This window comes from Homo sapiens, chromosome 12 (genome assembly GCF_000001405.40).
Source record: "Homo sapiens chromosome 12, GRCh38.p14 Primary Assembly".
In the NCBI taxonomy this organism is placed as follows: Eukaryota; Metazoa; Chordata; class Mammalia; order Primates; family Hominidae; genus Homo; species Homo sapiens.
Window position 1 is genome coordinate 56150154 of NC_000012.12, and position 11784 is coordinate 56161937.

Sequence of the window (11784 nt, forward strand, 5' to 3'; positions counted from 1 at the left end):
GGACTTTGGGGGTAAGTGTGCATAGACCTGTGCACTGCGGAACAGCTCCCCAATGGCTTTCCATATTCTTTCAATCTAATGGGCCACTCTGGACAGCTGAACATGTGGAGGTTCCTGGAGGACGGCATGCCTAGGGAAGGCAAGCAAGCTTCGGACTCACCTCCCTCCCTGCCCACAAAATGCAATCTCTAAGAATATACAGGCCAGTCAAGGTAGGTCATACCTATAATCCCAGCACTTTGGGAGGCACCTGAGATGGGAAGATCACTTGAGCTCAGTTTGAGACTGGGTAACACAGTGAGACCTCATTTCTAGAAAAAAACAAAACCAAAGAAAAATAAGAATATACAAATCACATGCTAAGCAGGGAGAGGAGAGAGGAGAGACAGGCATTTCTCACAGATAATTCACATATATAATCACCCTATGCCCAGTTAAGACCATGTTTCGTCCAGTTCCTGTTATTTATGATCAAGACAGGGATGGCACAGAAAATGAAGGATAGCCTTCCCATCTCTGCAAGGGTCTTAACGTTTTTTCCCTGTACTACTTCTCTATAGAAAATGCTAGAAAGTCAGATGATGCCATAACCACTCATACTTGGCAAAATGCCAAAAATGGGAAAAGGAAAGAAAAAAAATTACAAGAGCCATATTTTGAAATCAATGTCTGCAAAAGTAATGAAAGCCACACAAAGGCATCTATAATGTGGCCCTTTCCCAGTCTTATAACCACTTAAAAATGTATTCCTTCTTCCTCTCCGTCTCTTCACAACACCTATTGATCCTTACTTCATTGATGTAAAATGGGGAAAATATCAGCGACCTCATACCTTGGGAAGATTAAAGGAAAGTTATTTAACAAAAACTTATACAGCACTTATGCTGTGCCAGGCCTATTCTATTTTACACTTTTTTTTTTTTTTGAGTTGGAGTCTCACTCTGTCACCCAGGCTGGAGTGCAGTGGTGCGATCTCGGCTCACTGCAACCTGCCGGGTTCAAGTGATTCTCCGACCTCAGCCTCCCAAGTAACTGAGATTACAGGCGCCCGCCACCAGGCCCAGCTATTTTTTTTTTTTTTTTTTTTTTTTTTTTTTTTTGTATTTTTAGTAGTGACAGGGTTTCACCATGTTGGCCAGGCTGGTCTCGAACTCCTGACCTCAGGTGACCCACCTGCCTCGCCTCCCAAAGTGCTGGGAGGTGTGAGCCACCAAGCCCGGCCCTATTTTACCAATAATAACACTTCGAATCCTCCGAAGAGCCCTATGAGGTAGGTACCATTATCATTATTTTACAGATGAGGAACTGAGGCCCAGGAGAGATAACTAAACCTGCTGAGGGTCACTAACTAGGACCTGGTAGAACCAGGATTTAAATCTGAGTAGGCTGTCTGAACCCCATCCACTTGAGCACCCTCTGAGATAATTTAGCCCCTTCACCGGTACGAGATCTATGGCGGCCTCCAGAAATGGTTGCTAACTTACTATTATCGTTATTTCTGTCGTACAATTCATTTCTACCTTTCCAATAAACTTTCCCCAACCAGTGAACCTCACTTACTGCCCATAAAGTTCACCTGTGCCTCACCACCCTGCCATCGCCCGAGTTTTCTGCTCTGATCTAATCCTCACACGCCTGTGCAGCACCAGCTTCCAACACCAGGTGCACCGCCAGGGTATTTACTGATCCAGTGAGTGAAGGTGGGCCCGGCCGGGCTGGTTCCCATCCTCTGATCAACGCCTAGGGGAACCAGTGAACTCCAATGCTGACCATAAGAGTTTCAGAAAGTAGGGCTGGAAAGCCCAGCCCTCCGCTCAGAGACCTGTGAAGATCGAGGAGGATGGCGCATATGCTGCCGCAGGATGGAAACCTCGATCAGAGAAGGCTGGGGCAGGTGACTGGGCTTAATTGCAAATTTTAACATTTACTTCAGCAACCAGCTCATTAAAAACAAACTACTCTGAGGCCTCTTTTTTTTCTACCAAACCGCGAGAGGAAGCAAAAGAGAGTGCAGCGGTTCTCCCCGGGGCCGTTAAGTGCTTCCAGCTATCTGACCTCCACGCTGCCTGCTGCAGCCTCAATCTTTCCCCAGGTTCTGAGTTCTTTCAGCAGTAGGTCCAGGAAAACAGCCGCCCCGCCCCCTCCACCTCCCGAGACTAGGAGCCCGCCAGGGTTAAGTAGGAGGGATACCCTAGGGGCCCCGCAGGGTTTTTAGGGTTGGGGTGGATTGGAAATTGTTCATTGCCTTTCAGTTCCGGGACATAAAGCGCGCTGGAAGGACACTGAGTCACCAACCACCGCCATGGGCCGGAAGCCACCGCCCTCGCGTCAACTGCAATCTAGAGCGCGGCGCATCCCGTGAGCCCGCGGGGAACTACGACTCCCGGCATGCTCCGCGGCCACCGGAATTAACCCTTCAGGGCTGGGGGCCGCGCTATGCCCCGCCCCCTCCCCAGCCCCAGACACGGACCCCGCAGGGTGAGTTTTTGGGGGCTGAGGAGGGCCATTTTCTTTAAGATTTAGTGGGGGTGCGTGAGTGTGTGTGTGTGTGTGTGTGTCGTGTGTGTGTGATGTATTTTGTAAAAATGGGACAATTTGCAGTCATGAGATTCAGACGCTGTTTTGCGAATGGGAGACCCAGCATCAACCCCGGGGCCTAAGTGGAATCACTGCTATCTTCCTCAGAATGCTACCTAAATCCTTTCCTAATTTACCCCAGAACAAAAGTAGCCTGCAATCCCTCCCCACTCCCAAACGCCCCCCAACTTGGACTCTCTCCCAGCGCCCCTGGCAAGGTTTGTGACCTGGCCCCTGAGTCAGGATTTTTATTATACCCCTGGTTGTGGGGTGAATACTCATGGAGCCATAGGAGCGCCCACATCCTCTTGGATTAGGGAATTTAAGCCGTCTCCCAGAGCCTGCCCTTCTCCTCAGGTGCCACCAAAGGGTCCCCACAGGTTCAGCAAGCACCCTACCTTTTGTTTGTCTTGAATGACCGTGGGCTTGTGGAAGGTTTCTTCCATGGAAGAATGGGTAGCAGATGTTAAACCTGATCTTTGCCCCCACTCCTGCCCCTAAAACAACACTGGGCACAGGAGACAATGAGGGATGTCATACTCCTGTTTTTATGACTATTCTTCCTTTATACTGTGAATAGTTCCAGTTCTTGGCTGGGTGGGGGCTCAGGAACTACAAGTATTAGGGATCATTAGACTCTAAGGTTAACTACCCCTGCTCTTTACAAAGCCATGGTCAGAAGGGAGTGGAGGGGCTGGGCAGATGGGCTTCTTGTTTTTGTCATTGCTCCCAGACCACACTTTAACTTGTTCCAGTTCACACAAGCCTCCCTGGCTGCTACCCCTCACCCCACCCTTCAAGAAGACTAAAGCTGCTGGATCACCTGCTTTGCCTCACCACCCCCATCTCAGTGCCACTGGCAAGCATCCTATCCTCACCCTGGAGGTTAACTACCTCATTCTGGGCAGTCTCTGGCTTCCTCCCCTACCCCTAAAGGAAACATTGTTCTTTTCTGGTCAGCCTTTGGGGATAAGGGGACAGAGGGAAGAAGACCTTGGGGCAGGAGTCCTGAACCATAGGAGGCCAGGGGAGTGAGGGCAGGCGGTTATATCTCTCCTCTACCTCATCTTTGCCACAGCCAACTGGCTCCCTGCCCCTGCCCCCGCCCCTTGACATCCCAGACTCCCTGGCTATTTAAACAGAGATGGGTGCCCCCATCCGCACACTGTCCTTTGGCCACCGGACATCATGCCTCCCAAGAAGGATGTTCCCGTGAAGAAACCAGCAGGGCCCTCCATCTCCAAACCTGCTGCTAAGCCAGCAGCAGCAGGGGCTCCTCCAGCCAAGACCAAAGCTGAGCCAGCTGTCCCCCAGGCCCCTCAGAAAACCCAGGAGCCTCCAGTCGATCTCTCCAAAGTGGTGGTGAGTCTCTGGAAAGTGAAGATAGAATTGGAGGGGGTGGTTTGAGGGTGGGATACAGCCTAGGGGATTAGGGGGTATCTAGAAGGTAGGGAATCAGTGAGCCCTGGAATGAGATTGGGGCTTTCCCTTAGTCCCCCATTTGGAAGCATCCAGTCTTATGACTCTGCTGTTGTCTTTGCTGTTCTCTCCCTCTAACCTATAATCATGTGTGTACAGCACATACACACTCACTTACCCCCTGCTGGAGGCAGGGACTCTTAGATGGGGAACATCTGGGTTCTGAGAACAGTTTCAAGGTGAAGGGAAGAGAGCTGTTGCCTGCCCCTGGCTGGTGGTTCAATTCAAAAGGCCTGCAGCTCTGAACTCCAGGAGGGGAGGCTGAAGAGGACAGACTTGTTAGACAATCACAGCTGGGGGCCAGGGGTAAATTTAGCCTTTGTTCAGCCCCCAGTTATGTGTGGGATGCAGGGCTCAGGGCAATGGAGGGAGGGAAACAGGTGGCATGGGATTAACCCTGTTCCCAGGAAACCCTCCCCACTGTAATTCCTCTTCTTGGGATTCTCCCAAGGCCCAGAGCTGGGAATGGGACTGAGGTGGCTGGGCTTCCAGCCTGGTCCCTTTGGGCCCCTCCTCAGAAGTGGCTGCCAGTTGGTTGGGAGGAGTGCGGGAGAGGGATTGAATAAACTCTCATCTCTCCCCACCTGCTTTTTTCTTCCACAGATCGAGTTTAACAAGGACCAGCTGGAGGGTGAGGAGAAGCTCATCTAAGGCCACTGTCCCATCCCCAATCCCCTGGTCAGATTCTCTTTCTATTCCCCTAACCCCAGTCCTGACCTTGAAACCTCCCATACTAGTCCTCTTTTCCTCCCTTGTTCTGTTCACATAGTTTCTGAAATTCCCTTCTGTCTGGGGGTGATGGGAACCCTAGTCAGTGTCTACACTGACCCTTCCTTATACTTTAGAGTTCAAGGAGGCCTTCGAGCTGTTTGACCGAGTGGGGGATGGCAAGATCCTGTACAGCCAGTGTGGGGACGTGATGAGGGCCCTGGGCCAGAACCCCACCAACGCCGAGGTGCTCAAGGTCCTGGGGAACCCCAAGAGTGATGGTGAGGGGACCCTTGGGAACAATTTGGGTTTTTAGTTTTCAAAAGTTGGATGTTGGTAACAAAAAGAATGAGGTGGATCTCAGGACTTCAAAAACTGTCAAACACAGAAGCAGGAAAATATCCTAAATGCTGAATAGGATGAAAGCATTGTGGTAGGGTTGGGAGCTGGGTCCTATGTAATACTACAATGACCTCTCCTTTACCTCTCTCCAACCTCCAGAGCTGAAGTCGCGGCGTGTGGACTTTGAGACTTTCCTGCCCATGCTCCAGGCAGTGGCCAAGAACCGAGGCCAAGGCACATATGAGGACTACTTGGAGGGGTTTCGTGTGTTTGACAAGGAGGGGAACGGCAAAGTCATGGGAGCAGAGCTCAGACATGTTCTCACCACCCTTGGTGAGGCAGGCAAGGGGGACCAGAACTCCTTTAGAGTGGAGAGGGGGATGGGGTGGGCCAGAAAGACTGGACAGATAAGCAGAGCTAGCAGGAGGCTTACTGTCCTGCAGGTTGTCGGCAGGAGACTGAGAAGGTCAGAGCTATGGGGGTAGAATCTGAAGGACTCGCTCTTCCAGAGGCTAAAGTGCCATCCGGAGGGCAGAGGAAAAGGGATGAGGCGGGAAACCTGAATTTTCATTTTGGAAGAGACGTGTGGGTTGTGTGTTCTGGTACAAGTCTCGTAACCTCCTGGGATTGTTTCCTTGTGGGTCAATACTTTCAGCAGTACTAGGGTGAAATGGAAAGCAAGAGGCATCCATGACCAGGGGAGGATTCCCTTGAGGACTGAGGCTATGGGAGAAGAAGAGGTACCACTCTAAAGAGCGTGGCCTGGCCAGGTATGGTGGCTCACGCCTGTAATCCCAGCATTTTGGGAGACCAAGGCGGGCGGATCACCTTAGCTCGGGAGTTCGAGACCGGCCTGGCCAACATGGTAAAACCCCATCTCTATTAGTAATATAAAAACTAGGCGGGCATGGTGGCACGCACCTATAATCCCAGCTACCCAGGAGGCTGAGGCAGGAGAATCGCTGGAACCCGGGAGTCTGAGGTTGCAGTGAGCCGAGAGATCATGCCACTGTACTCCAGCCTGGGGGACAGAGCAAGGTTCTGTCTCAAAAAAAAAAAAAAAGGCCAGACACGGTGGCTCAAGCCTGTAATCCCAGCACTTTGGGAAGCCGAGGCAGGCGGATCACTTGAGATCAGGAGTTCAAGACCAGCCTGGCCAACATGGTGAAACCTCGTCTCTACTAAAAACACAAAAATTAGCCAGGCATGATGGCGGGTGCCTGTAATCCCAGCTACTTGGTAGGCTAAGGCAGGAGAATCGCTTTAACCCGGGAGGTGGAGGTTGCGGTGAGCCGAGACCGTGCCACTGTACTCCAGCCTGGGTGATAGAGCAAGACTCAGTTTAAAAAAAAGCAAAACAGCATGGGCTGGCCGGGAGCAGTGGCTCACTCCTGTAATCCTAGCACTTTGGGAGGCCAAGGCAGGAGGATCGCTTGAGCCCAGGAGTTCGAGACCAGCCTGGGCAACGTAGTGAGATTCTATCTCTATTTAAAAAAAAAAAAAGTACAAGGCTGGGCGTGGTGGCTCACACCTGTAATCTCAGCATTTTGGGAGGCCGAGATGGGCAGATCATTTGAGCTCAGGAGTTCGAGACCAGCCTGAGCAACATGGCAAAACCATGTCTCTACAAAAAAATTTAAAAATTAGCCAGGCGTGGTGGTGCACGCTTGTAGTCCCAGCTACTTCGAAGGCCGATGTGAATCACTGGAGCCCAGGAGGTGGAAGTTGCAGTGAGCCATGATGATGTCACTGCACTCCAGCCTGGGTGACAGAGGGAGACCCTATCTCAAAAAAAAAAAAAAAAAATTACAATTGTTATGTTTATATTGTTGTTTACAAAAATATATGGAAAAAGCCAGGCGCGGTGGCTCACGCCTGTAATCCTAGCACTTTGGGAGGCCGAGGCAGGTGTATGACCTGAGGTCAAGAGTTTGAGAGCAGCCTGCCCAACATGGCGAAACCTCGTCTCTACCAAAAATACAAAAAATTAGCCGGGCGCCTGTAATCCCAGCTACTCGGGAGGGTGAGGCAGGAGAATCGCGTGAACACGGGAGGCGGAGGTTGCAGTGAGCCGAGATCGCTCCGCTCCACTGCACTCCAGCCTGAGCGACAGGAGCGAAACTCCGTCTCAAAAAAAAAAAGGAAAAGCGTGGCCTGGGTGAGTGAAGGAGGGAAAGGAGGGCCTCAGACGTTGTGTCTGGGATTCAGGAGAGAAGATGACTGAGGAGGAGGTGGAGACCGTTCTGGCAGGACACGAGGACAGCAACGGCTGCATCAACTACGAGGGTGAGGGGACAAAAAAGCGGGAGCGGGGCCGAGGGAGGAGGGCAGCCTGGCGTCTTGCCGCGTGTGGGCGGGGGCACCCCTGGATTACCTAGAGTCAGATGTATTATCCAAAGGCCTGCTTCTGAAGCCCCTCTTGCCTCCTCTCTCTGCAGCCTTCTTGAAACACATCCTAAGCGTCTGAGTGCTGCAGGTAGGGCCCTCCCACCCCTTCGCCGCGCCTTACGAGGCAAGTCTCCCGCCCTTCTCTCAGCCAACATAGAAAAGCAGCGGAGTTCATTCTGCTGTCCGGTTGCTGCACGGGCTCCAGCGCTTCGCAACTTTGGTTTTTTTCCACAGATCCAGTGGGGTCCGGACACTGGGCCCCGCAGGCGAAAGCACGTTCCAGCCACCAGGAGGCCACCTATTGTTTCAAAATAAAGACTGGGTTCCTCTCTTGGTTTCAGACTGCTATTTTTTTCATGGTTGGGGGAGCAGCGGGAGACGGGGAGGGTGCTAGGAGGAGAGGGCGGGAAAAGAGGGCTCTCTCCTCTTCCAATCCTCTGATCTTCCTGCTGTTGGGAGGTGCAGATTCATTGTGCCCCAGCCCACGTCCCCCCACGACCCCCGCCCCCCCACCTCCCCCCACGACCCCCCCCACCTCCGAGCGGGTTCTGTGCCCAGGTGGCGCTGGAGAAAGGAACAGCGGACCCCGCCCAAGTCATTACTAATGTAGCAATCGTCTGCATAAACCCAGGCCACGGTTCCTATTGGCTGAGTCCTCTGAGGGTGACGTCATCGGGACGTACTAAGACTAGGGTTGGGCCGAGAGTCGGAGCCATTACTGCAGGAAAAGGTCCCGGAGAGCTGAGCAGTCAAGATGGTGGGGCCCAGGTCTTGGGAGACGGGCAGGATTGGGGACGAGAGGCAGGAAGAGACGGGTGGGGGGCGAGGAGAAGGCAGGGGTAGGAGGCAAAGGGAATCTGAGGACCCGAAAGGTTGGAGGTGGGGTTGGAAAGACTGGGGCCCTGCGGGGAAGCGAGTCTGCAGCCTGAAACAGGAGTTTGTGGGTCAGAGTTTGTGGGTCAGAGTTTGTGGGGCTGGGATAGAAACTCGGGGGATTGGCGTTCAGATGCTGACCACTTCCCTCTTCTCTGAGCAGTGTGACTTCACCGAAGACCAGACCGCAGGTAGGTTATCTCTGATCCCTACCGAGGTCACCCTTAGGGAGAGGGACACCCTCCCCCCAGCACCTATCCTCTAATCTTAATCTGTCATCTCTTTAGCACCCCCATGAGATTACCCCCTGGATTATTTTCTCTTCTTCTGGATCCTCCATTTTCTTTTCTCACTTTCTTCCTCCCTCCCCTTCCACTCTAGATCTGATCCCAAGCACTGGGTGAGTTTTAGGTGGTGTGGGTATGTGAAAAAACTTGGTCACTTAATGCCTGCTGTGTGTGGGGTCTCGGGAGGGTGTATAAAGCTGCCTGCTTTCCTTTGTCCTTTAATCAGCTACTTCTGCCTCTTTTCTCCTCTTGTGATAACTGTCCCCGCCCTCCCAGCTTGCAGTTGTGAAGATTGTAGAGCAGTGACCTGATATTCTGTGCAGATGGGGACAAGACAGGGGAGTTTGCTAAGGATATGACTGTAGCTATACCCTCTGGAAGTTCTCTTTATACTGGAGGGGTGCGAAGTGGCAGGTTGGGATGACCCTAGTCCCAGGCTGCTGCTCCCACTTCCTTATAAGGACAGGACTGAGACTGGGCGGTGGCGAATTCCTGCCCTGAGAAGTGTAGTAGCAGCAGTGGAGATTGGCAGGCCTGCCGCAGGCAGAGGGGTTGTGTAAATGGATGTTACCAGGCTGCCAGAAGGGGAGGAAGCCTCTATATAGAACACTTGAGTTGGGAGGAAGAGAAATAGAGCCCTCTTAAGTAGACTTTGGTGTACAGTTTGGTGCAGATATCTCGTTTCCTCAGCATGATCAAAGTTGAATGGGCAGCAGAGCTCTGAGGTAGGGTTTGGATTAACCCTCAAATCCTGTGTTGACATTCATCTGAATCCTCAGAGTTCAAGGAGGCCTTCCAGCTGTTTGACCGAACAGGTGATGGCAAGATCCTGTACAGCCAGTGTGGGGATGTGATGAGGGCCCTGGGCCAGAACCCTACCAACGCCGAGGTGCTCAAGGTCCTGGGGAACCCCAAGAGTGATGGTGAGGGGCCTAAAGAACAACTCCTCAGTGTGGTCATGGGCCCACAGTTCTTCAGCTAAGAGCTTCCCTTTATCTTCATAGGCCCCAAACTCAAGCAAGTCTGGATTAGCAAATCCCATGGATTTCCTTGCTTTTAGTGGGGAGTCATCTGTCATCTCTCTGTTCAGTTGAGGTCTCTATAATCCCCTGTCCTGAGAACTTGTGTTACTTCTCTGGCCTGACACTTCCACCTCCTTTATGGCAGAGATGAATGTGAAGGTGCTGGACTTTGAGCACTTTCTGCCCATGCTGCAGACAGTGGCCAAGAACAAGGACCAGGGCACCTATGAGGATTATGTCGAAGGACTTCGGGTGTTTGACAAGGAAGGAAATGGCACCGTCATGGGTGCTGAAATCCGGCATGTTCTTGTCACACTGGGTAAGGTTCTGTGTCCTTGTCCTTGAGCTGAGATGGCACCCTGAGGTACCTCACTTGTCACCCAATTCCAAAAATGCTTTCTTTCCCCCTGCAGGTGAGAAGATGACAGAGGAAGAAGTAGAGATGCTGGTGGCAGGGCATGAGGACAGCAATGGTTGTATCAACTATGAAGGTAAGAGGTGAACTGCGCTTTCTCAGAGAAAGCAGCCATATGGGGCAGGTCAAGTATAGTGTCTGGGGCTTTCCCTATCCCTGGACTTGGGCTCCAAAAAGAGCCAGGAGGCAAGGTGCAGGGCCCTGCCCAGCCCAGCCCAGGAGTGGGAGGTCAGGGCGGTATAACAGGAAAGGAAGGGGGTAGTATTGTAGAGGGTGGGAAGGAATGAGAAGTGAAATAATGGAATGTCTGTCCCCACTGCCTGACCCCTCACCCCATGTCTTTGTCTTGTCTTCACCATGAATGTCTCTTCCTTCCTGCAGCGTTTGTGAGGCATATCCTGTCGGGGTGACGGGCCCATGGGGCGGGTACGGCTCCTCCCAGCCTCTCCTCTAGTTGATCTCCCCAGTGTTTCTTTTTTCCCCAACCTGTGCTCTTTATCCCCTGCCCTTACCCTACTACCATCTGACTTCCTCCTGGCATGTTTCTGCATGGAGCTGACTAGGGAGGGGAGGGATTCCTCAAAGAGGAAGACAACCTGGGGGTACAGTACCTCCTTACCTCTAGAATGGGCCCTGAGGTTTTACTTATGCGGCCCTGGGTGCTGGTGTCTGGGAACTCTCACCAGCCTGTATACCAGTCTTGCTTTAGGGTGACCTTCTGGCCCTGGAGCATGGGTAGCTGGCATAGAGGGGTATGGGTTGCCTGCCCCATTCTGCTGCTATAGCTGAACAGTCCTTTCCCCTTCCCTCGCTGGGCAGCTTGGAGGTACCCTAACCCAAAACTCTGTCCTCTCCTCCCGCCAGTGGCTGACAGTAGCTGTAGGTGTAGTGGAGAACTTTTCTGCCTCTGCTGTGTTCTTGCTGCTTAGGTTTGGGTGGGGGACTAACAGCTGCTGGGAGGGGAGCTAGGGGCATGGAGAACTGGTCAGACTCAAGGTGGCTCCTCTGCAAACTGACCCCAGGGTTGGTTGCTGTGGGCATGTTCCCGCTTATGCTACCTTTGCAGTCTGGTAGTCCCCTGGCCCTTGGCGTACCCCTCCACAGCCCTGTTCCCTGGCTCATCCCACCTTTCCTTTCCACAGAGCTCGTCCGCATGGTGCTGAATGGCTGAGGACCTTCCCAGTCTCCCCAGAGTCCGTGCCTTTCCCTGTGTGAATTTTGTATCTAGCCTAAAGTTTCCCTAGGCTTTCTTGTCTCAGCAACTTTCCCATCTTGTCTCTCTTGGATGATGTTTGCCGTCAGCATTCACCAAATAAACTTGCTCTCTGGGCCCTCGGTTCGGTTCTTTCTTTCCTGAACAGGGTAAAGGGGAAGAAGGTGAGATGGTGATGATTTCTGCCCTGAGGCAGAGTCCAAGGTCAATCAATGGTGCAGGGGTTGAGGAAAGCTGGGGGAGGCCCTGTACTAGCCATCTGGGCTTCATTTAAAAACTACTGGCCCCATTCATCCATCTTACACAAGCTACCTCTTGGGAGATTAGGAAAGCCATAGATCCCAGTAGGACTAAGGCTGGCCATCCCTGTTCCATTCCATATCAGGCTGTCTTCTCCTACCCTTCCAGCTCCTTAAATCTGGCCCCCGCCCTCCCAAGCTCCCAATAAGGCCTTTTGTGGGGAAGCCTGTGGAGTGTTTA

The 11784-nt window shown here is 52.4% G+C and overlaps 3 protein-coding genes and 2 long non-coding RNA genes across 8 annotated transcripts in view, besides 8 other annotated features; 3 read left to right on the top strand and 2 right to left on the bottom strand.

Moving 5' to 3' along the window:
- Positions 1-3720, bottom strand: part of LOC124902943 (uncharacterized) — a 10766-nt gene extending 7046 nt beyond the window's left edge. The window contains exon 1 of one of the 2 annotated variants that reach the window (XR_007063328.1): positions 2976-3720. This is a non-coding gene — a long non-coding RNA (uncharacterized LOC124902943). Of the gene's footprint in view, positions 1-223; positions 266-2975 lie in introns of those variants that run through there. The other variant, XR_007063329.1, reaches the window with a different exon arrangement.
- MYL6B-AS1 (MYL6B antisense RNA 1) lies at positions 643-8072 on the bottom strand. Its single transcript, NR_186043.1, has 3 exons — positions 8030-8072; positions 7481-7792; positions 643-832 (listed from the first exon to the last, which is right to left on the bottom strand). It is a non-coding gene; the product is annotated as an MYL6B antisense RNA 1 (long non-coding RNA).
- Positions 1508-1587: an enhancer, noted in NCBI's record as "active region_6476". NCBI's record gives its function as "activates an Ori minimal core promoter by ATAC-STARR-seq in GM12878 lymphoblastoid cells {active_cell/tissue: GM12878}" and the evidence as "EXISTENCE:reporter gene assay evidence [ECO:0000049][PMID:35858748]".
- LOC124902942 (uncharacterized) lies at positions 1674-3744 on the top strand. Its single transcript, XM_047429954.1, has 3 exons — positions 1674-1894; positions 2253-2478; positions 3656-3744. The coding sequence occupies exons 1-3, from the start codon at positions 1841-1843 to the stop codon at positions 3688-3690; spliced, it is 315 nt and encodes a 104-aa protein (XP_047285910.1). The 5' UTR covers positions 1674-1840; the 3' UTR covers positions 3691-3744.
- Positions 2434-7829, top strand: MYL6B (myosin light chain 6B). 2 transcript variants are annotated; one of them, NM_001199629.2, is made up of 8 exons: positions 2434-2478; positions 3656-3939; positions 4660-4687; positions 4902-5045; positions 5266-5439; positions 7315-7392; positions 7545-7582; positions 7729-7829. In NM_001199629.2, exons 2-7 carry the CDS (start codon positions 3766-3768, stop codon positions 7571-7573), a joined length of 627 nt encoding a protein of 208 aa, NP_001186558.1. In that variant the 5' UTR covers positions 2434-2478; positions 3656-3765; the 3' UTR covers positions 7574-7582; positions 7729-7829. The 2 variants fall into 2 exon arrangements, with proteins under 2 accessions (NP_001186558.1, NP_002466.1); NM_002475.5 differs by having other exon boundaries at positions 3720-3939.
- Positions 7205-7314: an enhancer, noted in NCBI's record as "active region_6477". NCBI's record gives its function as "activates an Ori minimal core promoter by ATAC-STARR-seq in GM12878 lymphoblastoid cells {active_cell/tissue: GM12878}" and the evidence as "EXISTENCE:reporter gene assay evidence [ECO:0000049][PMID:35858748]".
- Positions 7935-8104: a silencer, noted in NCBI's record as "silent region_4546". NCBI's record gives its function as "represses an Ori minimal core promoter by ATAC-STARR-seq in GM12878 lymphoblastoid cells {active_cell/tissue: GM12878}" and the evidence as "EXISTENCE:reporter gene assay evidence [ECO:0000049][PMID:35858748]".
- On the top strand, positions 8206-11426 carry MYL6 (myosin light chain 6). 2 transcript variants are annotated; one of them, NM_021019.5, is made up of 7 exons: positions 8206-8251; positions 8531-8558; positions 9434-9577; positions 9822-9995; positions 10090-10167; positions 10473-10517; positions 11234-11426. In NM_021019.5, the coding sequence occupies exons 1-6, from the start codon at positions 8249-8251 to the stop codon at positions 10499-10501; spliced, it is 456 nt and encodes a 151-aa protein (NP_066299.2). In that variant the 5' UTR covers positions 8206-8248; the 3' UTR covers positions 10502-10517; positions 11234-11426. The 2 variants fall into 2 exon arrangements, with proteins under 2 accessions (NP_066299.2, NP_524147.2); NM_079423.4 differs by lacking the exon at positions 10473-10517.
- Positions 8475-8654: a silencer, noted in NCBI's record as "silent region_4547". NCBI's record gives its function as "represses an Ori minimal core promoter by ATAC-STARR-seq in GM12878 lymphoblastoid cells {active_cell/tissue: GM12878}" and the evidence as "EXISTENCE:reporter gene assay evidence [ECO:0000049][PMID:35858748]".
- Positions 9325-9394: an enhancer, noted in NCBI's record as "active region_6478". NCBI's record gives its function as "activates an Ori minimal core promoter by ATAC-STARR-seq in GM12878 lymphoblastoid cells {active_cell/tissue: GM12878}" and the evidence as "EXISTENCE:reporter gene assay evidence [ECO:0000049][PMID:35858748]".
- Positions 9435-9504: an enhancer, noted in NCBI's record as "active region_6479". NCBI's record gives its function as "activates an Ori minimal core promoter by ATAC-STARR-seq in GM12878 lymphoblastoid cells {active_cell/tissue: GM12878}" and the evidence as "EXISTENCE:reporter gene assay evidence [ECO:0000049][PMID:35858748]".
- Positions 10475-11097: an enhancer, noted in NCBI's record as "H3K27ac-H3K4me1 hESC enhancer chr12:56554412-56555034 (GRCh37/hg19 assembly coordinates)". NCBI's record gives its function as "activates a minimal SCP1, AML or CMV promoter by ChIP-STARR-seq in naive H9 embryonic stem cells {active_cell/tissue: H9 hESC(naive)}" and the evidence as "EXISTENCE:reporter gene assay evidence [ECO:0000049][PMID:30033119]".
- Positions 11098-11718: an enhancer, noted in NCBI's record as "H3K27ac-H3K4me1 hESC enhancer chr12:56555035-56555655 (GRCh37/hg19 assembly coordinates)". NCBI's record gives its function as "activates a minimal SCP1, AML or CMV promoter by ChIP-STARR-seq in naive H9 embryonic stem cells {active_cell/tissue: H9 hESC(naive)}" and the evidence as "EXISTENCE:reporter gene assay evidence [ECO:0000049][PMID:30033119]".